The sequence below is a fragment of the Homo sapiens genome, chromosome 9 (assembly GCF_000001405.40).
Source record: "Homo sapiens chromosome 9, GRCh38.p14 Primary Assembly".
NCBI classification, from domain to species: domain Eukaryota; kingdom Metazoa; phylum Chordata; class Mammalia; order Primates; family Hominidae; genus Homo; species Homo sapiens.
In genome coordinates this window covers 127,135,455-127,161,394 of record NC_000009.12, presented here as the reverse complement: position 1 = coordinate 127,161,394, position 25,940 = coordinate 127,135,455, and the positions used below count along the sequence as shown (strand labels likewise).

General features: G+C 45.8%; 1 protein-coding gene across 55 annotated transcripts in view, besides 4 other annotated features; it reads right to left on the bottom strand.

Moving 5' to 3' along the window:
- Positions 1-25,940, bottom strand: part of RALGPS1 (Ral GEF with PH domain and SH3 binding motif 1) — a 308,385-nt gene that overhangs the window by 61,772 nt on the left and 220,673 nt on the right. The window lies entirely within an intron of this gene.
- Positions 1,476-1,997: an enhancer, noted in NCBI's record as "OCT4-NANOG-H3K27ac-H3K4me1 hESC enhancer chr9:129921677-129922198 (GRCh37/hg19 assembly coordinates)". NCBI's record gives its function as "activates a minimal SCP1, AML or CMV promoter by ChIP-STARR-seq in primed H9 embryonic stem cells {active_cell/tissue: H9 hESC(primed)}" and the evidence as "EXISTENCE:reporter gene assay evidence [ECO:0000049][PMID:30033119]".
- Positions 1,476-2,850: a biological region, named in NCBI's record as "P300/CBP strongly-dependent group 1 enhancer GRCh37_chr9:129920824-129922023".
- Positions 1,651-2,850: an enhancer, noted in NCBI's record as "P300/CBP strongly-dependent group 1 enhancer chr9:129920824-129922023 (GRCh37/hg19 assembly coordinates)". NCBI's record gives its function as "activates an origin of replication core promoter dependent on BRD2, BRD4, P300/CBP, MED14 and CDK7 cofactors, with strong dependence on P300/CBP, by STARR-seq in HCT116 cells {active_cell/tissue: HCT116}" and the evidence as "EXISTENCE:reporter gene assay evidence [ECO:0000049][PMID:35650434]".
- Positions 6,446-6,495: an enhancer, noted in NCBI's record as "active region_29032". NCBI's record gives its function as "activates an Ori minimal core promoter by ATAC-STARR-seq in GM12878 lymphoblastoid cells {active_cell/tissue: GM12878}" and the evidence as "EXISTENCE:reporter gene assay evidence [ECO:0000049][PMID:35858748]".

Sequence of the window (25,940 nt, the reverse complement as noted above, 5' to 3'; positions counted from 1 at the left end):
GGCCTCAGTTTCCTTGACTGTGAATAAGGGTAATAACGGTGGTTTACACGAGTCTCCCAGTCCAGGGCCTGGACCATTGAAGTGCATAAGAAGCTGAGCTGACCTTACGGCTGGCCCTATTTGAAGCAGCAGCATGGGAGGAATGAGCCCAGCTGGGTTTGCCACAACCGTGGATGGCGCCCAGATGCTGACTGCATGGTGGCCACCCCTCAGTTGGACCAGTGCTTGGAGCTGTCACCTGGACTGGGACAGCACAGCTGGACATCTCAGCTCCTATTCCTATTTACACAGAGTTACCAAAGCAGATGACATTGTGATGTTGGCCTTATGAAGATGGACAGTAACTGGATCAGCCATTGGCCCTGGCTGCCTTGGGGCTGGACAGTGCCAGGGACCAGGCAAGGCTGAGAGGTGCAGACCTGTTGGGGGAAACAACCCTGACAGTAACAGCCACTGTCTACTCTAGGGAAGGGAAGTATTGTGTTTACCATGGCACCTTAGCAGTGACCCTGTACAGAAGGCACTCCTGTTCCCCACCATTTTACAGATTAGGAAACTGAAGCTTAGTTTCAATTGGCCAAGATCACACAGCTTGCAAGTGAGAGAATCAGGATTTGAATTCAGGACTGCCTGACTCCAAAGATCTGGGACAGACAGCAGTGCTAGGGGCTGGAGGCTGGGGGCTGGAAGTCATTGGCTGGCACAGGGATGAGGATTCCAGGCAGAGAGTTGGGGGTGTGAGGACCCCTGCTGTGGCCTGTCTTCCCCCAATCCCCAGGACACTGCTGGCAGCTGGCATCTGCCCCATGGCTATGCCCACCCGCAGACTGGACCTCCTCTGAGACAGATCCCAGACCATGCTTGGGCTCTGCTCCCTCCTTCCATGCCCCACACAGGGCCTGGTGACACTGCTGTAGCTGCCACATGAGTGCCAACCAGACTGCCGTGGTGAGGCAAACCCCCAGGGCCAGAGTGGGCAGCTCTCACCTCGTTCTGCTCCAGAAGCCCTCCGCAGCTGGGCTGGCCTCAACACAAGGGGCAGGTGGCCAAACCTGCTTCTTGACAGTGAATACAGGCTCCCCACCAGAGGTGTCCACAGGACACCCGGCCCCAAGGAGGGAGTGCCAGGCTGACAAAGGAGGTGCTCTTCCGAACAGACACCTTCTCTGAAGCTGAGGGACACCCATACTCGATGGCCCAGAGCCTGCTTGAAGCTGGGCGCTTGCAGCCTCCCCAAGCCAAAGCCCACGGCTGGCACCAGGGCTTCCCACAAGCCCAGAGACTCACTGCTCCCTTGTTCTCCCATCGCCACCCTGTCTCACTTCCAACCCAAGTCTGGTTTTGGTTTTTCTCATACAGCTATCTTTTTAATAAGGAAAATTCTGCTGTGTTGAGGGGAAAAAAAAACCCTCTACAGCATAAAAATGTGCCACATTTCCATCTTATACTTTCCATTTTCTCTCTCTCCCTTTTTCAAAGTTTGAGATGAAAGACTTTTTTCCATGTTCTCCTGCTCTGCCTTAAAAAGATCACTTTCAAACTTCAGTATTCAGGAGTGCTGGCATGCAGAACTATATTTGTGTGGTTTGATCACATAAACTGTCCTGATAAATTCCAAATGAAATAACAAAGCAGCAGCTCATTAGGATGTGTGTGCTCTCTTTAAGAGAGCACAAAGCATTTCCATCTACTGCATGATGAGATCTCAGCAGGCGGCCCAGGCTCCCTGAGAAGATGGGGAAGACTGTGAGTATTAACTAGCACCTGCTAATTAATATCCAACAAGCAAAACAGGGCTTCAGAACAAATCCTCATTTAGAGAGTATTCCTTTTGTGAAAGCTGTTGGAAGCTTACTGTCACTGAGACAGTTTCCTCGGTCTGCAGAAGGGGGCAGGCGCAGGCAGTCACATGGCAGGTGGTCAGAGGCCACGCTTTCTGGATGAGCACATGGCCTTGTGTATGACTTGGGGTTGTGGCTCATGAATCACAAAGGCACGTGGGCAAAGTCCTGCTGTCTGGACAGAATCCTGAAGTCCAGGGAAGCCAAATCACCTCCTGGCTCCCCAAGGTGAAATGAGGACACAACTATAGATCCCCTCATGCCCTGGGGATTGCCTGGTAATGTACAGGCACAAAGAGGTAACCCACTGTTTGCAAACGTTCCCCCAGAGTGCAATGGATGGCATAGCGTGCACTGGGGTTCTGACTGGCAGTAAGAAGGGGCATGAGGAGAGGCCATGCATCTGGTTACTGTTATTGGCCTTTTTTCATGCTGGACACTGTGCTGAGTATATTACATGTACTAGCTCATTTAACCCTTCAATGACAATTGGGAATAGAGAAGAAACTGACACTTTTTTCTGCCTAACACCCACTACCTATTTTGGAAACAGCCCTTGATTTCCTTTTGGGGAAATTATACCTCCCACACTCATAACCCGTGTGGCTTCGGGGCATCTGGAGCAATTCCACCCCCTTCTCTGTCCCATGGGTAAAAACAAATTTTTAAAAATAATTATTTGGGAAAGAAAAAACACTTACCAATTAATTCTGAGATGAAAAAATAAGTTAAAATTAAAATATCAAAATTATCCACAATGATGCAAGGCCATGTAACCACCGAGAGAAAAGTCCACAGCCTCAAATGCTTATATTAATAATTAAAAAACATTTAAAAAGTGAACTAAGTATTCATTATATAGAACTAGAAAAAAAAGAAACGAGAAAACAATTTAAAATATAAAAGCATAAATAATGAATTTTTAAAAAATCAACAGTCTAGCAAAGTGATAAATAAAACTGAAAGTTGGTTCTTTGAGAAAATCAATGAAATGGACAATCCTTTGGTATGTACGACTGAGGAAAAAGACACAGATGAACAATATTAGGGATGAGAGCGGGGATATGATTTCAAATATGGAAGAGATGTTAAAATAGTGGTATGTGTAAATTTTATGGTAACATATTTGAAAATCTAGATGAAATGAATGCTTAGTAGGAAAATATATCTTCTCAAAGTTCTCTGAAGAAGAGGCAAAAAACTTTACTAATAAAGAGAAAAATATTAATAATGGAGAAAGATACTATTAGATTGGTGCAAAAGTAATTGCCATTACTTTTAATCGCAGAAACTGCAATTACTTTTGCACCAACCTAATATAATTAAAATACAATATCTAGATGATTTTTAAGGAGCTCATGCATAAAACCGTAAAAGAAAAACTTAATGTTACTTAAACTGTTCCAGAACAGGAAAAATCAGAAATAGCTGCAGTTCATTTTACGATTCTAGCATAACCATTACACCCAAACCTGACAGAGGTGGCATAAAACAGAGACCAATCACATTAATAAATCAAGATGCAGGGATTCCAAATAAAATATTATCAAATAAAACTCATTGGCGTGTCCTGATAAAGCACAGACTTCCTTGATGTGATAAAGGATACATATTAGAAAATTAAAACAATGTTCTTAATATTGAAATCCTATTAAATAGGAACAAATCAAGAATATCTGACATACTGCTATCATTTAACACTATGCTGAATGTGATAAAGCAAGACAACAAATGTGGAATATTAAAGATGCATATCACAGTGTCATTTTTGCAGGTGATATGATTAGTTATCACATTAGTGATATAATTAGACAATTTAGGATAATCAACTGAAAAACTATTAGAATAACAAAGTTAACTTCAAAATAAATATACATAAATCAATGTCATTCTTATATAACAGTAATCATCAGCTAGAAAACACAATGGAAAAAAAGGGCAATTTACAATAACAGCAAAACTATAAAACACCTAGGAATAAACTTAGAAATGTGTAAGACTTATATGAATAAAACATATTTGATAGAAAAATAATATATAACATTTATTAAAATCAAGTATACACATATCCTGGGCCTACTAATCCTTCTCCAAAGCATCCATTTTACTAAATAAAGGCACAATTCATAAGAATACAAACCTTTTATCTACATCTCTTTGTATCTGAGTTGTTGCAATGAGAATGTAACACTTTGGTAATTCAGGTAAAAACTAATGAAGTAAAAATATCTGAAGGATTGAAAGAAGATGTAAATAAGTAAGGAAATATATAATATTCTTAGATGGGAAGACACAACATTGCAAGGATGTCAATTATTGCCTAATTAACATACACATTTCATATCTGAAATGATTCCAAAGTTCACTTGGAAGAGGAAATGTATGAAAATAAACATTTTTAACAAGAAGAATGAAGAGAGGGGCTTGTTATAAAATGTGCTGTGATGCCCAGTCATTAAGCAGTATAGTATTGCTACAGAGTTAGACAAATAAAGGGAGCCCAGCAATACATACATAGAGATACAGAAATTTAGTATACGATGCAGGTATATTTCAAATCAATAGGAAAAGGAACAATCCTTCAATAAATGATATTGAGACAAATGATTATTGATTTGGAAAAATATAAAGCTGGATCTCTACTTCATTCCTAAAACAGAATAAATTACAGATAAATTAGGGAGTTGAAATCTAAATAATACGAGTACTTGAATAAAATACAGAAGAATAATTTTATAATGCTGAGGTACGCAAAGGCTTAAGTGTGACATAAGACCCAAAACCATTAAAAAAAGACTGACATATTGGGGTCCATTTCTCAAAACCCACACACTTCTGCATGATCAAATAAAACACCATACATGAAGCTGAAAGACAAATAGAATAGGAAAAATATTTGCAATTTATAAGACAGTCAACAGTCCTAATATATAAAGAGCTCCTACAATAAATGCAAATAATGTTACAAAAGATGAGCAATTTGTGGAAGAGTATAAATGTAAATAAAAATGTGAAAGATTCCCAAGATGCAGTAATAATCAAGGAATTACAAACTAAAACAAGATATTTTTTCCCATTTATACTGACAAAGTTCTTAAAAATCGATAATATTTAGTGTTGATGAGCGTGTGGAAAAAGTCACACTATACAAGAGTGACTACAGCATAAATTGATAGAAACTTTTGGGAGGAGAATTTGGATGTCAAATAATGTGTTTTCTAGGACCCAGTAATTCCACTTCTAGAAATTTACTCTACAGCAATACTACTACAAATTGCAGCAATACTACTACAAACATTAATAAGAAATGTTCACTGCAGCATTGTTTGTAATTTATAATTATACAAAAAACACATGGTTTATATAAATTATTTTATATCCAAGTAGCGGAACATCATGCAGCTATTGTAAGGATAAAATATATTTCTAAGAACTGACACGGAAAGATATCCATGATATGTTTTTAAGTGAAAAACATCAGGTATGCCTGTAACAATAGAGAGATCACACACAGAGAATACACTGCTCAATCTGTTATCGATAGCCATCTTTGGGTATGAAACTGCAGGATTATTTTCTGCTTTATACAATTTTATATTATTTTAACCTTTAGCTATGAATATATACTACAGTTTTAGAAGTAAAAAAAAAAAAAGCAAGATATTTCTTTCTTTCTCTTTCTATTAAAGAAGCAAACACTTTTTTGGCAGGGAGAAGGAGAGCAATATGTGAAGCACAAGAATTTCCGAGCGTTCTCAGCCCCTGGTTGGTCTTCAGGTTTAGATTTAAAGGCCACAGACACTGACTCCAATCTGTTAGTGCTTCCTATCCCCTCATACATCTCCCTGCTTTTGCTCTCTCCATTTCCAGTCCAGTCTATACCCTGTGATCTTTCTCAAACCCTATTAGACCATGCCCCTCACCTACTTAAAAATACCCAGTGGCTTTCTATCCCAACAGGCAATGTGAAAACTCCTTAGCACAGCATCCAAGGTTTCTGGGCTCTGCCCCACACTACCTTTCCAGCCTCTTCCTCCACGTCTCATGTGATGCCCCAACTATGCCAGCCCCTCCATGCAGCCCCTGATGTGCCCTCTGTCTCATGCCTCTGAGCCTCAGCAGAGGGGTTTCCTCCCCTTCCCTCTGTGCCTCCTTCTCCTTCCTGGCTGCTAACTGGCTCCTCCTGGGCTCGCAGCACACTGTCCTTTCCTCGATTACAGCATTTATCCAGGGCAAGGGCTGTGCCTTATCCATCTCTGCATGCTCAAGGGCCCAGCACCAAGCCTAGCATAGAGCAGGGGCTCAGAAAATGGCCAGGGAAATGAATGGACCCCATGTTGAATCTTTATTGGAATATACACGACTCCCTTCAACCTGGCCTCTGAAATTCTATTGCTCAGTGGAAGGGTGGCTGCGGTTGCCAGGCACCCCACTCCACAGCCACTCTGTTAAGGGACAGCCCCACACTGTGGTATCCGCAAGCTAAATACTCATATTTCTCAGAGTGCTATAAAGTGCTTCCAGAGGAGCTAACGTCACTAAAAGGAAATGCAAGATGATTCCCCCAGTGAAAGCCTTAGAAACCTGCCTCTATATTGGGTAGAACCGAGGCTGCCCATGTGCCAAGGAAAACACTCTTGAGCTTGTCTTTCCAACCCTGGCTCAGAGATTTGCTACTGTGCACAGAAAGGCTCCCCAAACGTCCGAGGCCACCAGGATCCCGGCCAGAGAGTGAGATCACAGACAGCCGCTTCAGTCGCCAAAGTATTTTCCACTTCCACTAATGCACTCGCGTATCTGTGACCACACTGTACCTAGTCTTTAAGTATAACAAAAATAATAATGGAGGCAGATGCAAAACTGTCAGCTTTACTCATTACTCAATGGAAACTGTGTAACAAAAGACAACATTCTAAACCTCAATTATCAATCCCTGCATTCTCTGGAAAACAAGCAACAGATTTTCAGAGGGTTAGCTAGATCGAAACTGATTTTCACTTCCTCAAAGTAAATTCTTTACTGATTTTGCTGAAATGAAATACTGAGAGGTTCCTTGGGCCCTCTGGAAGGAAGAAGGCATCTGATTGTGAATTTATTTGTGGTTTTCAGGCTCAGGTGTTTTGATCTCTCCCTGCCTTTCTCAACGGAGATGAGAGGATGTGAGTCCTCATGGGGAGGTCGCAGGCTTTCAGTGGGCAGGGGCTCCTCCTACTCCATGGCAGGAGCCATCTCTGTGGGCTCCACCCTTCTCCAGGACACCCTGTGGACACAAGGCACTTGGCCTGGCCAGATCCAGCTGGCCCAGCAGCAGCCCTGCCTCTTGCAGCCCTAACGCCCTGGTCAGGGTCTGTAGGCAGCGCTATTCCCACCAAGCCTGGGAGCCAGTCTCACCCAAGGCAGGCCAAGCACTCAGCCCTCAGCTCTGCCAGCAGCGGGTGATGGAATAGCCAGTGCTCTTGTTAGTCTGGTCTTGTGTGGTGGGGTGGGATGGGAAGGTAGGGGAGAGCCTGGGCCGTCACTGGCTGGGGTCAGCTTCAGATTGGAAGGCCTGCCTACACCTACTCTCCTTGTATTGCCTCTCCTCTGCCCATGAGACTCAACTCCCTTGGGAAAGGACCCAAGAAACTTGACCCTCTGGACTGTGGTCTCCCGGTCACCTCCTTGAGACCCATCCTTCTGCTCTGCACCAATTGGTGCACTGGTTCTCCAGCAGCAATTTTACTCAATTCTGACTTCCCCTTCTGCTACACCAGCAGGCCTTGTGGCCAATGCTCCCCTCATTAGGACATTCTGGCTACATCGTCAGAGGATGCTCTGCAGGGAACAGAGGCCGAAGTGGCAGGAAAGCATGTCTGCTGACCAATTAGAAGAAGCAAGGACCCTGAAGGAAGGTGGCAGGTCATTGGGGAGAGGAAGCTGCAAGGGCACAGGGTGATGTGCTTAGGAACCAGCTCACTCAGTGATGTGCGCCGCCATCATGACAGGGCCTTAGCATCACAAATACTCACTGAGGACCTCCCACATTCTAGACACAGGGGTATACAGCAGAACCAGACAGGCACAGGCCCTGAACCCATGAGGCATGCAGCCTGGCAGAAGAGGGACATTCAACAGAGGCATTAATTACACAAACGATTAAGGGCATGAAACTGCTAAAAAAAAAAAAAAAAAAAAAAAAGTAATCCTCTAGCATACATTTACGTGGGGGAATCATCCTCAGGTGCCACTGAGAGACCCCAAAGGAATCAAGAGGTGAGTGAGACAAAAGAGGGTTATCTATGTCTTCAGCATTCACAGAGTTCATTCATCTGCTCTCCCCCTGCCCTGGCTACTCTCCTCAGCTCCAGAGATGTAAAGTAATCTGCCCAAGGTCACTCTGTGACAATGGTAGGATTCCAGCCCAGACAGTTTGACTGCAGAACCCACACTCACATATACTATGTCATATGTGATGTTCACATGTAGCTCAACACATACACTGGAGGAAAGATAAGAAAACTACGAAAACCTGAGGGATCTCTGTTCAAATCCTGGCATTGCCACTTATTGTTCAGTGTGATTCTGGGTGAGTTATTCAACTCCTGGGACCTTGCTTTCTTCATCTGGGAGATAGAGATAGTACCTGTAACTTTCTCACAGGGCTGAAGACGAAAGCAGGTAATGCATGTGAAAGGGTTGCAGATTATCTGGATAATGTTGGCCCTCAATGAAGTTACTTGAGAAAAAATTCCTGAAGCTTTAGGAGGAGATGGGGGTACAGACCAGTTTCTGGAAACCTTCCAGAAGAGACTAGGCCGCCCCTCACAGAGCTTTCCCTGACTTACCACTAAAAACCTCCTTACCAACTAAGACTTATGGACAGACAGCCTTAGTGCTAGGATCTAAGAAATTTAATATACTATAGGGCAGATATACAGGACAGAAATTGAACAGATTTACACCTTTTCTCTTGAAACCAAAATAATTCATATCTCCTGGGGCTTTTCCCAAGACACAGTGATCCAAGGCTATGGAAACCAGAAAATTTGGGCCAATGACCAGTACACTCACTGCCCAGTAGGAGCTGATCGGAGGGGTTCTAGAATGCTCTGACTCACTCTTTTGCCCACCATCTTCTCACATTCATTTGTAGATTGCTACTTCCAGAAAAGAACTGGAGTGTGCTCAGAGGGAAGCCCAAATGCCTTGCCTATTAATAAACCCCAAAGCTGAATAGATTTTATTACATTCAAGGGTACATTCGGGGAAAGAAAATCCAAAAAGGATAATACGAAAGAATACTTCCAAGTAATGGGTTTGAACTGCATGTAGGAGAAGTAGAGGGATAAGAGAGACCACACCTCCCCACACAGTCTATTCCAGGATCTGGAAGAAAGTTCAAACAGCTTTTCTTTTGAATACAGTACAAGAAGACAAGGTTTCTGTGATAAGAGAGAACTGTCAGAGATGAAACTGCGGGTGGATGCGATGGAAAGAGAGATGCATGAGATATGAAAAAAAATCAAAGAATACTAAAAACATGGCAGAAGAATTAAAAAATTAAACAATAAGGAGTGAGGCAGATACTGCGGAGATTTGCATCATGGATGTGGTGGGCAAGGTTGGCAAGCTCTCCCTCAGTGCCAATGAAAAGAGAAGGGGAAGAAGGGGAAGAAAGAACATAAGGGGACACAGGGGCCTGAGAACAGAGAGATGACCCAGAGAAGGGTGTTTTCCTGAATTCAAGTAGTTAGCCAGAATGTATCTAGGGATAGAACTCAGAGTTTATCAGGCTCCAGGAAAGAGATCTATCTATCCCTAGATACATTCTGAGTTTATTAGGTTCCAGGAAAGAAATCTATTCCTAGACCCATTCTGGCTAAACACTTGAATTAAAAACAAAAACGAAAACAAAAAACTCTTGCAAAGACTCAGGCAAAACACAAAAAGCAAAAAATAAAAAAATAAAAAAACCATAAAAGTGACCCCTGACCCTCTTTATTTCCCTTTCCCCTCCGCTGTAATTGAATTATACACTCCACCAGACCAGCTATGATGCTGTATGGTAGCTGCTGTCCTTCCCACCTGCTTCCCTGTGGGAGGAGGAGCTTCTAGAAGGCAGGAAGGATTGTTTACCCATGAAATATTAGTGGACATCTGATGATATGTCAATTGCTTTGATTTTTCTTTTAAGAAGGATATTTTCCCTTAGTAATTATGGTACTTAGATATAAAGACCCAAAGAGATAGGATTTTGGATGCCATAAAATTCTGGTCAACGCACTTTTTTTTTTTTCCATATAAATCTATGGGGTTGTTTCACCATCACAGACCGGCGGCAGCAGCAGCTGTCAACTTCTGAATTCACTCTTTTTTTCTCTCTTTTTTTTTTGAGACGGAGTCTTGCTCTGTTGTCAGGCTGGAGTACAGTGGTGCGATCTCTGCTCGCTGCAACCTCTGCCTCCTGGGTTCAAGCAATTCCCCTGCCTTAGCTTCCCGAGTAGCTGGGACTACAGGCGTGTGCCACCATACCCAGCTAATTTTTTTTGTATTGTAGTAAAGACAGGGTTTCACCATGTTGGCCAGGATGGTCTCGATTTCCTGAGCTCGTGATCCGCCCGCCTCGGTCTCCCAAAGTGCTGGGATTACAGGCGTGAGCCACCGAGCCCAGCCCTGAATTCACTCTTAATGGATCACACCCACTGTAGCCACACTCCCTCATCAGTGGTCTGTGAAGCCCACAGACTCCTTCTGCAGATGCCACCCAAACCCCTGGGGCAGAAAGCAAGCACTTGGGTGGCTTTCACGGTTGCATCCCATCTGGTGAGCTCTGAGGATGAACGCCTTTCTTTGGGGCTCGGTAGTGAGGCTGCCCTAGTAATCCAGTTGTAAGAGCCCAGGAAAGGGCATCTCTGTTGAGTCCAGTTTGAGATGGGGACGAGGATGCCTCATGCCAACTCCCTGAGCACGAGCATCTCAAATGCAGGAAGCAGGAGCTTATACTTGGCCATGAAGGGCATACAAATGCCCACTCTGCACAGGCTGCACCTGATGCAGCTGTGTGGGTGGGGTGAGGGGGGTGGTAAAGTAGCCTAGGGATACCAGTAAGAAGGCCCATTTGGAGCTTGGAAAGCCTAAAGCAATGGTGAAAGAGGAGTAATTTGAAGTGTTCTATTCAAAGGCTGCAATGGGTACTGGTCTGGGAAAAGGCCTGCTTCTCTCCTTCGGTGAGGGTTCCTGACAGTGATCTGGCCCCTGGTGACCCCGAGCCCACAAACAGGGGCACTGGGAGAGGTGGGGCTCAAATGAGGCTCCTGGGTCAAGGGAGCTGCCTCAGAGCATGGGGTGGGAGAATGGGAGCCTGCAGGCAAAAGAATGCTGGGAATGGTGACCGTGGTCACAAGCTCTGGGCTGAGCAGCACTTGTACAATTTCATGGAGTCTTCATTTTACAGAAGAGGAAAGGGAGGCTCAGAGAGGCTAAGTTGCTTGTTCAAGATCATACAGCTAGTGTGTGGCAGAGCTGACACTGCACCTCAGGTCTGACTCTTGAGTCTGGGTCCTGATCCATGGCATGGCTTCAGCCTTCCCTTCCCATCCTGGCCTTATTTGACCGCATGTGATCGTGTGAAGCTGTTGAGCCAGGGCAGGGGTGCTGCCACATGGGCTGACCTGAGCCATCTCCTCAGCTCATCTACCAAAAGCACTCCAAGGAAAGCATCATGACCTTCTTCATCCAGGTGGGGAAACCAAGGCTCTGAACAGTAGGGTGAGTTTCCCAAGGTCTCTTGGCCCACAGTTGGAGGAGCCAAGGTTTGAATCCAGGTCTGGTTGGCCACAAACCCTGCTCCTTCAACCTCCTGGCCATGGCTGGGTAGACTCCAGGGGCCCACCTGTCAGCCATGAACCTCTGTTTTGTGTTCACACTGGGAGCTGAGTTGTGTGGTCCCCACTCTCTGTGATCCTTAATCCAGTCCTGGAGGGTAGGCACACAGGCCTTGCCCTCAGAGGGGGCAGATGTCCTGCTGGGGACTGGAAACATCTCCAGACCAGAACAGGACTTAGTTCCAAGTGGATTACCACGAGCTCAGGAAGACAAGTCTGATTCATAGCCCATCAAACCTCACTGAACAGGCTCATGGTGCCGAGCTCCACTATGTTGCTGGGCTCAGCCCTCTAGCGCCAAACGCTTCCTTTAGTAAGATCCTGGTGTCAGCACCACCCCTACCATGGACCTCACAACAAAACCTTCTGAGATTTCTCAGCTCCAACATTGGAAGACAACAATAAGACACCAGTGTCAACCAGTGGATGAACTAGACTCAGAACCAGGAGGCCTGCCGCACTCTGCAATAGCAGCAGCTGCTCCAGGACCAAGCGACCCTCTGCCGGCCAGCCTGGACAGGGTGGGGCTCTAGAGCCAGGTGGTCTTAGTGGGTCAGGGGGATGCTGCCATTGACTTGTGGCTTCAGGACAGTTCCTCGGCCAGAACAGTTCCTCTGGTCCTCAGTTTTGGCCTCTGTAAACAGGGCTAACAACGGTGCCTCCCTCATGTGGAGGTGTAGACAGAATGAGGTGTATATGAGGTCACTGCTCAATAAAGGTTAGGGTGATGGTGATAACATTAGTAGAAAGTGGCAAGCCCAGACTGCAGAGAAACGAGGACCCAGGCCTCAGTTTCCACTCCTCTCCAACGTGTTCTCCCTCCGCCATCCCCACATTCTGTTCCATCCACAGCGAGGGCTGAAAAAGCATGCAACCGCCTTGAGAACAACTTATTCCCTTGCCCTTGCCTCCTCTCTGAGCCTCTATCACAGCCAGAGGTGAAATGGACTCTCTTGTTTGGGGAAGGGGATTCTCCATGGCCTGGGAGCCCTCCCTACTCTCTGGGGTAGTACAGGAGGTAGGGAGACCTGGTTTGAACACCCACCCCACTGGCTGACCCTCAGTAAACAACCTCACCCTTCTGAGCCTCACCTCATGTGCTCTCACCTCATGTGTCCAGGCTGAGCATTAAGTGAGGTCATATAAGCAAACCAACACGGTGCCTGGCACACAGCAGGTTTGTTCATTCATTCAGTCATTAATTTGTTTGTGTATTCACCAAGTAGCTGCTAAGCACTTTCTCAGCTAAGCTCTGTGCTAGGCTCACAGGATACAACAGTGAGAAAAAACAGACGCTCCCTACTCCCCTTATGGGCCTGACAATGGCCAAGCACTGAAGAAGTGCCTGTGTCCTTCCTCTCTTCCATGGGAGCCCCACATCCAGCCCGACTGGCCCCCACCTGGGTGTGCAGAGAGAATCCCAGGCTGGGGGCTCACAGCTTGGGAGGCCAGCCGCAGTCTGGGCAGGGGTGGCAGCCTGGGAATTCTGCTTATCTTCTGGGCAACCGCAGCTTCTCATACACCGAATCCACAGATACTGTGCTGCCTCCCACAAAATGTGCTTTATTTCTAAGACATGTGTGCTCAAAAAAGTATAATTATATATCAGTAGTGCTACCAATTCCTGGTCTATGTGAAGGGACTCAGGGTTTTATACCTACTGAGGAGGAGTTTAGGGCAATGTTAGGTTACAGACTTCACTGTAAGTTCTAAAGGACTTGGGCAAGTTAATGTATTTACCTTATCTGAATCTTAATTTCCATTTTTTCAAGATGAGCATAACTCCAACCTTGCAAGGCTGTTTTGAGAATCAGAGTTTTCGTGAATGCCTTTAATACACCAATAGTAATGATAATGATAACACCACCACCAGTGACTAACGTCTATTAGCATTTACTGAGTGCCCAGCATCGTGCTAAGTGTTTCTCAGGCATTAATTCATTCTTTTATTCAATAAATATGTATCGAGGGAATAGAAAACTCAGAAATAAAGCTGCACACCTACAACCATCTGATCTTCAACACGGCTGACAAAAACAAGCAATGAGAAAAGGACTCGCTACTCAATAAATGCTGCTGGGATAACTGGCTAACCATATGCAGAAGATTAAAGCTGGACCCCCACCTCTCACCATACACAAAAATGAGCTCAAAATGTATCAAATATTTAAATGTAAGACCTTAAACTATTAAAAGTCCTAAAAGACAATCTAGGAAATACTCTTCTTGACGTCAGCCTTGGCAAAGAATTTTTGGCTAAGTCCCCAAAAGCTAATGCAGCAAAAACAAAAATAGACAAGTAGGACTTAATTAAACTAAAGAGCTTCTGCACAGCAAAATAAACTATCAACAGAGTAAGCAGACAGCCTACATAATGGGTGATGATATTCACAAATTATGCATCTGACAAAGACCTAATAACCAATCTATAAGAAACCTAAGCAAATCAATAAGCAAAAATCAAATAACCCCATTAAAAAATGGGCAAAAGACATGAACAGACACTTCTCAAAAGAAGACATACAAGCAGCCAACAAATATGAAAAGCTGCTCAGCATCACTAATCATCAGAGAAATGCAACTCAAAACCACAGTAAGATACCATTTCACACCAGTCAGAATGGCTATTATTAAAAAGTTAAAAAAATCAACAGATGCTGGTCAGGCTGCAGAGAAAAGGGAACACATACACAGTTGGTGGGAATGTAAATTAGTCCAGTCACTGTGGAAAGCAGTCTGGAGATTTCTCAAAGAACTTAAAATAGAGCTACTATTCAACCCTGCAATCCCATTACTGGGTATATGCCTAAAGGAAAATAAATCATTTCTATCAAAAAGACACATTCAGGCTGGGTGCGGTGGCTCACACCTGTAATCTCAGCACTTTGAGAAGCTGAGGCAGGAGGATCACTTGAGATCAGGAGTTTGAGACCAGCCTGGCCAACATGGTGAGACCCCATCTCTACTAAAAATGCAAAAATTAGCCAGGCATGGTGGTGGATGTCTGTCATCCCAGCTACTCACGAGACTAAGGCACAAGAATCACTTGAATCTTGGAGGCCAAGGTTGCAGTGAGCTGAGATTGCACCACTGCACTCCAGCCTAGATGACAGAGTTGAGACGCTGAGTCAAAAAAAAAAAAAAAAAAGACACATGCACTCACATGTTCATCACTGCGCTATTCACAATAGCAAAAACATGGAATCAACCCAGGTGCCCATCAATGGTAAACTGGATAAAGAAAATGTACATATATATACCATGGAATACTATACAGCCATAAAAATGAAATCATGTCCTTCAAAGCAACACGGATATAGTTGGAGGCCATAATACCAAGCAAATTAACACAGGAAAGAAAAGCAAATACCGCATGTTCTCACTCAGAAGCAGGAGCTAAACGCAGGGTACACATGGACATAAACACAGGAACAACAGGCACTGTGGACTATTAGAGGCAGGAGGGAGGAGGGGTGTGGGCTGAAAAACTACCTATTAGGTAGCACGCTCCCTACCTGGGTGATGAGATTCATACCCCAAACCTCAGCATCATGCAATATTCCCGTGTAACAAATATGTACATGTACCCCCATATCTAAAATAAAAGTTTGAAATTTAAAAAACAGATAACGTATCGAGAATCCACCGTGTTCTCCATGCCGCAGATACTGCAGGAAACAAAACCAATACGATTCCTGCTTTTGTGTGGCTTACTGCCTAGCAGAGCTGCCAGACAGTAAACAAATAACTGCATGAATAATTACTTAATTAAAATGGAATAATATGAACAACAAAGAGTACATCCAGTCTTCCATTTATGTAAATGCCATTATTTATATTTTCTAGATGAGGAAACGAAAGGTCAGAGAGGTTGGGAAGCTTGTCTCAAGCCACAGACCTGGTAAGTGGCAGGGCTAGGCCTCAAATCTCATTGAATAGGAATTATTTTGCCTAGAATAGTATCAGAGTTCAAAAGCATCTGCAGAGAGCTCCACATCTTCTGGGGCTCTACCTCTAGTCTAAGAGCTGCTCAGAGTAAAGGCAGAGTCGGAGCAAAAGGCTTGCTGTGCCTCCATGCAGCCCTCCCCGGCCTGAGTCAGAAAGATGGAGGGCTTGGTGCCTTGGAGTTACTTAACCCTGGGAAAGAAGGCATCATGAGGAAGAATTCTAGGTCCTCCAATAGTCAACAAATGAGTTTAGGGAAGTAACTGCCCCATTTTTTGAAAACATAAGGGTAGCAGATATCACCAGTAGGTGACAGCCCAACCAGGATACCTCAGAGGAACCCTGGGTGAAAAGATGCAGGTCGTCACAGGGCCTGGAGGGTAGGTGTGCCCACCTGGCTCTGCCACTGACCAGCGCTGTGGCCTGGAGTTTCTCCTCTAAAAAACAGGGAGAATAAGAGCACCTCCCTCGGAGGGCCACTGTGAGGCCACAGTGAGATAATACCGACGAAGTGCTTAACTCAGTGCCAGACATGGAGCAGCTGTCCTCTTGTAGACACTGAAAGTCAAGCTGGTCCTCCCTCCAGCAAAGTGGATTTCAACAATGAAATACAACCCAGCTGGAGTGTCAGGGCCCAGCAGCTCTATTTCTTATCTCACTTTATATACTGTAAGGCTATTTTTGCCTTACTCACATATCACCTTCATGATTTTTGCCAACATAGTACCTATATTATTATTATTTTTTATTGTGGCCAAATACACCCACCATAAAATTTACCATTAGTGACATTTATTATATTCATGCTGTTGTGTAACTATCATCACTATTTTGTTCTGGAACATTTTCTTCACCTCAAAATGGAATGCTACACCCATTAAGCAATCACTCCCCATTCCCCGCTTTCCAGCCTAGGCTACCACTAATGTACTTTCTGGCTCTATGGACTTACTGATTCTGGACATTTCATATAAATGGAATCATATAATATGAGACCTTTTGTGTCTGGCTTCTTTCACTTAGCGTTTTCAAGGTTCATCAGTGTTGTAGCATGGATCGGTACTTCACTGCCTTTATGGCTGAATGGTATTCCACTGTATGCATATACTACTTTTTGTTTATCTATTCATCCTTTGGTGGACATTTCAGTTGTTTCCATGCTTTGGCTATTGTGAATAGTGCTGTTATGAACATTCATGTACAAGTTTTTGTTTGAACATGTGTTTTTACTTTTGGGTATATACCCTGAGTACAATTGCTGGGTCACACTACATGATTTTTTACTTAAATTTTTGAGTGAAATCGTAAGTTTGATGTGTTAATCACATTAAGATAAATACTTAGCTATCAAAGTAAGGTTATCTACCATGCCATCTAAAATCATGAGGACCCAAAGTAGTGCATGCCCACACTCTGGGAAACTCAGATTTCATGTGTTCCTGCACGAATCGTCCATGAGGGCCACCGCTGGGGTACTACGGGTCCAGGAGCTAATGCTGGGTGGGGATCCAGCGGTCACCTGATGGGTCAAAAGCACTGTTAGAGGGGGACAGCCAAGGATCTGAGCCAGGGAAGCAGCTCCATTTTCAGGCCTCAGGGCTAAGCTTTCAGAACATGGGGTGGAGAGGAGAAAAGGAGGTGGCAGGGAAGGAACAAGGCTGAGGGTTCCAGGCTTCAGCACCAACAACGGAGATGACTTCAGAGCAGAGGCTCAAAGAGGGGATCTGGGGGCTAGTCTCACTCAGGCTGCCCCCCTCCCACAGCCTAATCCATCCTCTGCTGTGCTTGTGGCCAACTCCCCAGGTGCCCGGAAGGGGAGGGCAAGGGCAGAGCAAAGGGGCTTGCCTTCAGCTTTCTTCAGACATTCTCCAACGAGGACTCCTGCCCCTATATGGAGACCTCTGTCTTGGTAATTACGGAGCACCTAGAAAGAAGGGTTGTTTTCAGTGGGAACTCTTTCATCTCTGTCTTAAATTATACATCATGACTTAACGTTAACTCTGATGTCTTCTAGAATTCAAGTGAGACATAAACATACTCCCAGAAGCACAGAGTCTGCATTCATTACTGGGACCACCTTGACCAAATAAGAGGTGTCACCAAGTCTATTTATAGTTTAAACATCTCTCAACTGCCCTTTCTTAAAATCTGTTGAGGTAGTTTCCACATAAACAGGGAGGAATGTCTAGGCCCTATCATCATTCTTTCATTAGGGCTTCATGTCTGGAGGGTAGGCAGATGTCAATCAAACCACAGCACGGGGCTATGGAGAAAAAGTATAGGAGCTCTGGGCAGAGCAATGGAGAGAACTGAGAGGTGTAAATTAATAAATAAAAGCCTCCATCTAAAATCCAGTTATCATTTAATTTAAAATAAGACCAGTGTGAAAGCTAGCAGGGTTGTGGTGAAATCGGGAAACCCATACACTGCTGGAGCAGGGTGAGCTGGTTCAACCCTTTGGGAAAGCATCAGGGATTCCAAAGCCAGAATAATATTGGTATCCTTTGACTCAGCAGTTGCACTCCCAGGAACTTATTCTGAGGAAATAATTCTAAAAGAAGGGAAAACATTGTACACACCAGGGTATTTATTGCAGGGAAATCTACGGTGGTTAAAAGAAAACAAACAAAAACTTGGAAACATTCTAATGTCAAACAATAGGGAAATAGCTAAGGAAATTAAAATAACTACTTAACAAAAAATACAGAACCACAAAGTACTGGAATAGTGGAATTTTAAGTGCTTTAAAAAATTTTACAGCATTGTTATACAGTTTGTACATTTCAAAAAAGATTAATCATTGTTGAGGTAGTTTCCACATACTACCTGATTAATCATTAAGATATAACTTTCTTCTAATAATTGTTATTTACCGTCCAGATTTAATTATTATCAGAGTAGCAACATAACCACATACATACATACACACACAAATGTATATAATTTGTATACATTTGTGTATAATGTAAATATAAATAAAGAGTCAACAAGCTCAAAGAACAGTGGTTTCCTCTCAAAATGCCAGGCAATTAACTACACAACCCTCTTCTCAGTTATTTAATTGGCTGATCATTGTGTGCTCTGAGCCAGCAGCAAGTAAAATGTTTGTGGTCCTGCTGTGATTCCAGGGTCTTATTTGCAACCCAAGAGAACTGAGCTTGGAGGCCCTCCTGCGGAGGGAGTCCTGGACCTGCTAACTCAATCTGACCTGTTTGGACACTCCATGGTGCTTCTCTGCTAGCCACCCTGACTTCTGCTTCCCTCCAGATGCGCCCATCATGCCCACCCCTCCAACTGCCTCCAGAGTCCTCTTCATCCAAACAATTAGGTGGGATCACTTAGCCTGGCATTCTAGGCTGTCTGCAGTTTGACCCATCTCACAGACCACTCGCAGCATAGTGTGGCACTCACCAATGAACACACTGCACAGTGGATGATCACCTCCCTTTTCTTAGACACTCTACTCCTACTGTTGCAACCTGAGACCAGGGCTTCCCATACATCTGCAATATGAGGCTGGTCTGTAAGGACGGATCCCCTAATGCCCTCTTAGAGGCATCTCCTGCTCTCTATGATGTGACGAGGCATCTAGGGCTCAGACCGCAGGGCAGGAGTGCCCACAGCCTTTGCTAGCCTGCCACTTGTATTTTCTCCCAGAATGTTCCAAATGAAGCAACTACCATTTAGAACGTTGCTCCTGTCATTATCAACAGACCTACGCAAGGCTGGATTTTTACAAAGGAATGTGGAAAACACCAAGTACTATAGTGGAATGGGGTTACATATTCAATAACATGATTATTGAAAACATACTATTATTGAATAATTTATTGAATACATAACCCCAAATGACAAACTCATATCAATGATTCATTTACATATAAAGTAAAACATGCAATAAAAATTTACATTTCAATTTTCTATATTTAAAATATTTAAAATGAAAAATACTTAAAAAAATACTTTCAAAATGTATGAGCAAAAGCCTGCCAGTTGTCCTTACTTGGGAAAAAATATTCTTTATTCTGAGATTATGCCCTGCTTACACTGTAGGTGTTAAAATGTTTCTTTCTCCAGGAAATGATAAGGACAGTTTCTTTCTTTCTTTTTTTTTTTTTTTTTTTTTTTTGCCATTAAAAAAATATTGGCAACCCTGTGAGAGTCTCTGAAGTTTCATTTTGAAGCTTCCCTTGCCCATGAAATCCAAAGTCTGGGACCCACTGGCCTGAGATCACACGTGGTTCTCTGGCAGCAGTCAGGCTGTTGGTTGGCATGGACTGTGCCTGAGCTGGAAACCCCCAAGGGTGCTTCTGAGCAAGGAAAGCGAGATGGCTAGGGAGGGAGGCAGCTTTGCGTTACTGTTGGCTGGAGGACATTTAAAACTTAAAATATTTGAAAGTTAAGTAGGCAGGAATTTCAGTTTGGCACAAAAATCTCAAACTTGAATTTACTTCTTCCCTCTTTTTCAGTCAGAGTTTACACCTTACTGTACGGCTGACCACCTGAATCCCAATCTCACGAACACCCACAACCCCTGGCATTCCCTGGCACTACCCAGCAAAGCCCTATCTTTGCATCGGTCTCAGAAGGAGTCTCCCAGATGCTGCACCAGCTGCCCAGCGCTGCTGGAGGAAATCTCCACCGCTGCAGAAAGGCCATCCCTCCACTCCCTGGACAGCCCTCTCCACGTCACCCACCTGGGTCCTCTCCTACTCCCTTTGGTGCCTGGTCTTTCCCAGCAGCTGCCTACCCCCAACTCCCTGCTATTCAGCCCTGTAGGCACCTTGACTCCTAAATGAATGACCTTAGCTGCCTGCCCCTGCCCCCTTATTGATCTGCCAGGGTTTCCACCCTTCCATCTCTCCAGGGCCTGCCTCTGCAGCACAGCCAGGCTGTCCATCACCTCCATGTTCCACCCTCGCCCAAGTCTCTTCCAGCGTGGACTCCATGGCTGCCCCATGCTGTTCTGTGTATCTTAAATGTCTCTACCAGATTTTTTTGGGGGGAGGTTAAAACTTTTTTTTTCAATTAAAAGGGCATTTATGGTCATTCTAGAGAATATAGAAAGGTATAATGAGAAGTATAACTGCCTATAATCCCATCACTGTGAAGTAACTGCTCTTAGGATTTAGGTGTGTCCTCCACATAAACATACACACCTGTACAAGCTAATCACATGCTGCCAGGTGGTCCTGGTGGAATGTTCTGTTGGTGGAAGACCCCAGGGGATTCATCCTTCAGTGGAAGTGGAAAGGATTCCAGCCCAGGTGGGCACCAAGGCACTGTCTCAAGTGCTGGGTGCCCCCAGAGGCCTTTCATGACGATCTAAGGGGTAGACAGGGGCTGTTGGCCCCTGGGTACATCCCGTTCAGGACTTTCTTGACTGCAAATAATCAGAGCTATCATTTTACACAAGTGCCCGGACGGCTCTGGGGTCTGGGAATGGGCAGCCACAGCACGTCCATCTGATCCGTCAGCCAGAGACTGACCTGTTGCACTGCCTTCCAGGGTGCCCCAAAGTCAACTCTCAAGGCAGGAGGAAAAGTGGTAAAAGGAAAAGGACTGGCTTCCTTGGTAAAGAAGAGGAGTTGGCCCTAACAAGACAGCCAAAGCTCCCTTTTTCTTTCCTCCCACAGTCTCACTGCTGTGATAAGGGTGACAACAATAATAATAATATACAAAAGCTGACCAGTGTTGAGAACTCCCTGGATGCCAAGCATTGTGACAAGCCATCAACACATGTCATCTCTGCGTTTCCCAAAGGGTGGACACATGCCATGAGCGGATGGCGGCTGGCATGGGCGGGTGGCACGGGAATAGGGATTTGTATCTATTCTTAACAAGCATTAGAAAAACTACGGCACATCAAACCCCTGAACTCAGACTATGAATAAAATAGACTTCAAGAGAAAAACTGAGCAAGAAAGTTAATAGAAATGGCAAAGGTGGTCACAGATGCCTGAGGTCTGGGAAAACACTGTGTTACCTCACTGACTCCTCTCAGCAGCTGTTCTACCTACATGGAGGCCGAGGCACAGGGAGACCACCCACACCACACGCCTGACTGGTGGTGACTGGGATGAGGGCCCAGGCCTGTCTTGTCAGAGGTGGACCTCCACTGGCCCAGGGCCCTGCAAAGGAGGGTTCTGCTTCTCCTCCCCTTGCCCTTGATGCTGACACCCCCACCCCAGCTGCTATGCACAGAGCCCAAGGCAGACGCTCCAAGCGCTGGGTCATGCCACTAGTCATTGGGCACCATCTCCTGACAAGCTTCCACTACTGGTCCTGTTTGTCTGGGCATCTCAGCTGGCACAGCTGGGCACAAGGTGGGTTGGGTTCATGAATGTTTGTGCCACTGCAGAACAAGAGGCCCCATTCCTGAAGAGGAGAAGATGGGGTGGCCTGACCTGGGGAGTCTGCCTCGGACCTGGCACTCACAACTTCCTGAAGCCTCACTAGTCAGAGTGACCCAGGAATGGCAGGTCAGCAGCTTCTGAAGATGGGAACATGGGTGACTTGTCAACTCATACCTCACTAGGTCTGCCGTGTGTCAGCACAGGACTACGTGACCCACCTTCTGGCCAAACCTTCCTCTGAGGCAGGGCGAGCCCAGACAACACACTGTTGGCCCTGAGGTCTGTCCCTGGCTTCCAGGATCATCTTCCATCCCTTCTAAGGACAGAGCTGAGGTGCAGGGGCCAAATTACAGGGCAGCAAATTACAGGGAGAGATAGAAGAATCAGGTAAATCTCAAACCAGGAATCCCCATCTCTGACAGGACCAGAACAGGAATGTGAAGAATTCTGATTCAGTGTGAACTAAAAATTACTGCCAATTAGAGAGCTACCTATCCCCCAGTAACGGTAACCCTAGTGTATTAATAATAAACTAGTGAGAATGGCTACCATGAGCTGAGCTCCTAATGGATGTCACATCAGGCTTTTCCTGCATTAATGAGCTCCATGGAGTCCTCACGCAGCTCTCTGAGGCAGGCACTTCCTAGATGTGGGCACTGAGACTCGGGGACACCTGAGGTCACACAACTACCCAGGGTGTGTGGAGATGTGGACCTAGACTCTCTGTCCTTCCGTGGCTGACCTCCACAGGATTCTGTGGCTCTGCAGGGCTGATGACTGGCACCGAGAGCCTTTTCTTTCCAGGAGTTTCTTCTATAGAGTATGTGCAGCAATTGTGAGCTTGCCCAACACCTATTCCCTGGAGTAGTGTGTGCCCAGGATGGTTCAGGGTTCTGCCTCTTGCACTGTCACTGTGGTTAGTGAAGCCCATTTGCCCTCTGTCATCCAAACTCTGGGAACCCTGGAGCACTCCTCATTCTCACTGGTGGCTTGATGGCCACAGTGCTCAATAAGCACTTACCAGGCTGAGCAGGACCTGGCATTCTGGCCTCTCTTCCCAGCTCTTCCTTACTGACAATGCAGCCACGGACAAATTGCTGCCTTTCTCTGTGGCTTAGTTTCCTCACTGATAAACGATGGGGTTGGAACTTACAGCTCTAACATTCGAGAACATTTTGATTCCAGAGATTGGAATGCTATACCACACAGAGCATTAAGTCTGTGGAAATGAACACATGTTCGCTACCCGGGGAGGCCTCCTCATTCTTCGGCCGTGGCCTACAGCATCCCTGCAGAGCCGAGCCCTCCTGCCTTCTGACATGGTTAGCTCTCCCATTTGAGGTTCTCATAGGTCCTTGGCTGCTCCTTTGTGATAATCAGCCACTTTATACTTGAAGGACTCTAATCATACTGATATTAGTGGCTTCCATTCTCTGAGGGCTACGTGTGAGCTCAACATGTATTATCTCCCTGGACCCCATTTACAGATGAGGGACCTGGGCTCAGAGATATCAAACAACTTGTTCAAGGTCAAATGGCCATATCCATCTAACCCCTTAGCCTCTACACGCTGCTTGCTCAACACATGCCCCCACCAGGCTGCAGGTCCAGCAGGGTCAGAGCCCACACCTGATCTGCTCACGCCATGTATCTCCCCAGTGCCCAGCACAGGCTCTGCCCCACCTCAGTAATACTTCTTAAATGAAAGAAGGGGGAAAAAGATGTATAAGTCAGAATCTTTTGGTTTCCAGTGATAGAAACTCAACTGGAACCAGCTTCAAAAGGGAAAAGGACGGCAAGAATCCTGAAATGGCTCATGGGACCAAAGGCTGCAGCTGTGTCCCAGGACAGCCCCACTGGCAGGGTGGAGTTGGGGGTAGAGCTGGCGGCCTGCTGCCTGCAAATCTTGCTCTCACCACTCTTCATTGCTGCCCCTCTCAGGGAGTGACTTCCCCCCAGTCACTCAGCCTCTCCATGTGGCTCAGGTCAGCTACAGGCAGCTGTGGTGTCATCCTGACAGTTCTACAATCAAGGAAAGGAGATTCTCTCTCCCCTGGCTTCAGAAAAACCAAACAATCCAGACAAGGACTCCAACTGGCCTAGAGTGGGCCACTAGTCTGGAGGGTGGAGGGACAGGATACACTGTGGCCCGGGTGGGACACTAGTCTGAGGCCGTGGCTGGGGTAGCTGGGTTGCATGCCCTTCTCTACAATCAGGTGGCAGATGGGCAAAAAGAACAGCCATCCCCTTAGGCAACCTTGTCAAACAGGCCATTATCTCAGTTACCCATGTATACTTTCAGCTTTTTGTCAAACTCAATTCCTATTAATTGTGGGGTAGTTAAAAATATACCCCTCTCCCAAGGCTGAGGTTAAAATCTCTGACATGGGTCATTCCTGTGGCCATCTGTTCCTAGCCACCAGTGAGGTTGTCTCTACACTTGAGTCTACCGGTTCCCATGTCTTGAGTCCCTGCTGACAAGAACAGAGCCTGGGGTGATGAGAATCTAGAGCAGTGTTAGCACCCACTGACTCCATGCGGTCAGAGGCAGAAAAGAGCTTGGGTTTGGAGTGAGGCAGACCTGAATCTAGTCCCTGACCCTTAATCACTAAGACAAAGGCATCCCACCCAGAAAACCAGGTATGCACCAGGTCCTGCGTGATCACAATGAGGAGATGATGAAGGTGAGGTGATGGTGGGGAGAGCTTGCAAGTGTGGAATGCCTCTGGGGGGGCCAGGGCTGAGCTCAGGACTCCACGTGCTTCTGCTCACTGTATCCTGATGACAACCCTAGGAGCAGACTGTTTTAATTGCTGTTCCATAGACCTGGACAGGGAGGCTCAGAGAGGCTGAAGAGCTCTCCCAAGGCACACAGTCCCATGCAGGGAGCTGGCATGCAAACTCCACTTCTGCAGCGAGTGAGTGGTGGAGGAGGAAGCCTCTGGGAGCTCCCAGCAGGGTCCCGGGAAGAGGGTGGGTGCTCCACAATGCTCAAAAGGCTCTCTGGCTCAGCTCCTGCTTTCTTCTTTCCCACTCTCTCACTTCACCAAATCATCTCTGCTGCCACAGGCCTCCCCCTCCCTGGCTGGCAGTGCCGGCAGGTCTAATGCATTTGGGTTCCCCTTTGGGCTGCAGCCAGCTGGAGCTCAGGGGGTGCTTCTGCCCCTTCCTGCCACTTCTCTCAGAGAGTGTGCAGAGACTCCTTGGGTAACCCTGGGCCTTCGGGCATTTGTGGAGGTTCAGGTGGCCAGACCACAGACTCACAACCTGGGGTCACTGGATGGCTGAAGTCGTTACTACTTTATTGAGGAATCTGGATCCACCAGGGGTATAAACACAAAATGCTTTCGTTCTCTCCAACACCCACTCCCCGACTATGCTATGTTGCCTCCCCTTTCCAATTTTGGGCAGCAAGTCCCTAAATGAAATCTGGGCCAGATTCTGTAACTTTGCAGTCACTTTCCATTATTAGAATAGTCTCATTTCAGGATTTAACACTTGGTTCTCTTTATTTGAAAACTTGACTCAAATGCAATTCAAAGTTCATCTTTGTTCTCCTTGCATGCCCCTTCCCCACAGTTATTTACGGCTCTGGGAGCTGGGAGGAGGTAGGATAGAGTTCTGCTCTTTACCAAGTCCCCTTGCCTTTGTCTTTGTAAACTTCCTCCCCTACCGCCTTCACAGACTCTAGCAGAGCCTGGCTTGGGACCCACCCTCTCAAGCAAGATCTGCTCCCACAGGGGTTGTCCATCAGTGGTGGGGAGGGCCCCTAGTCTGGTTCCCTCAGAAGTAGGTGGCTCCTGTCAAGCCGGTCCCCACAGAGGTGGTGATATGGGTCTCCTAAGGTTGTCTTTGGCTTTGCCCTGGCTCCTCCATTGCCAAAGGGCACTCAAATCTTTCCCTGCCACAGGGGCACATGTCCCTGGCCCCTGCTC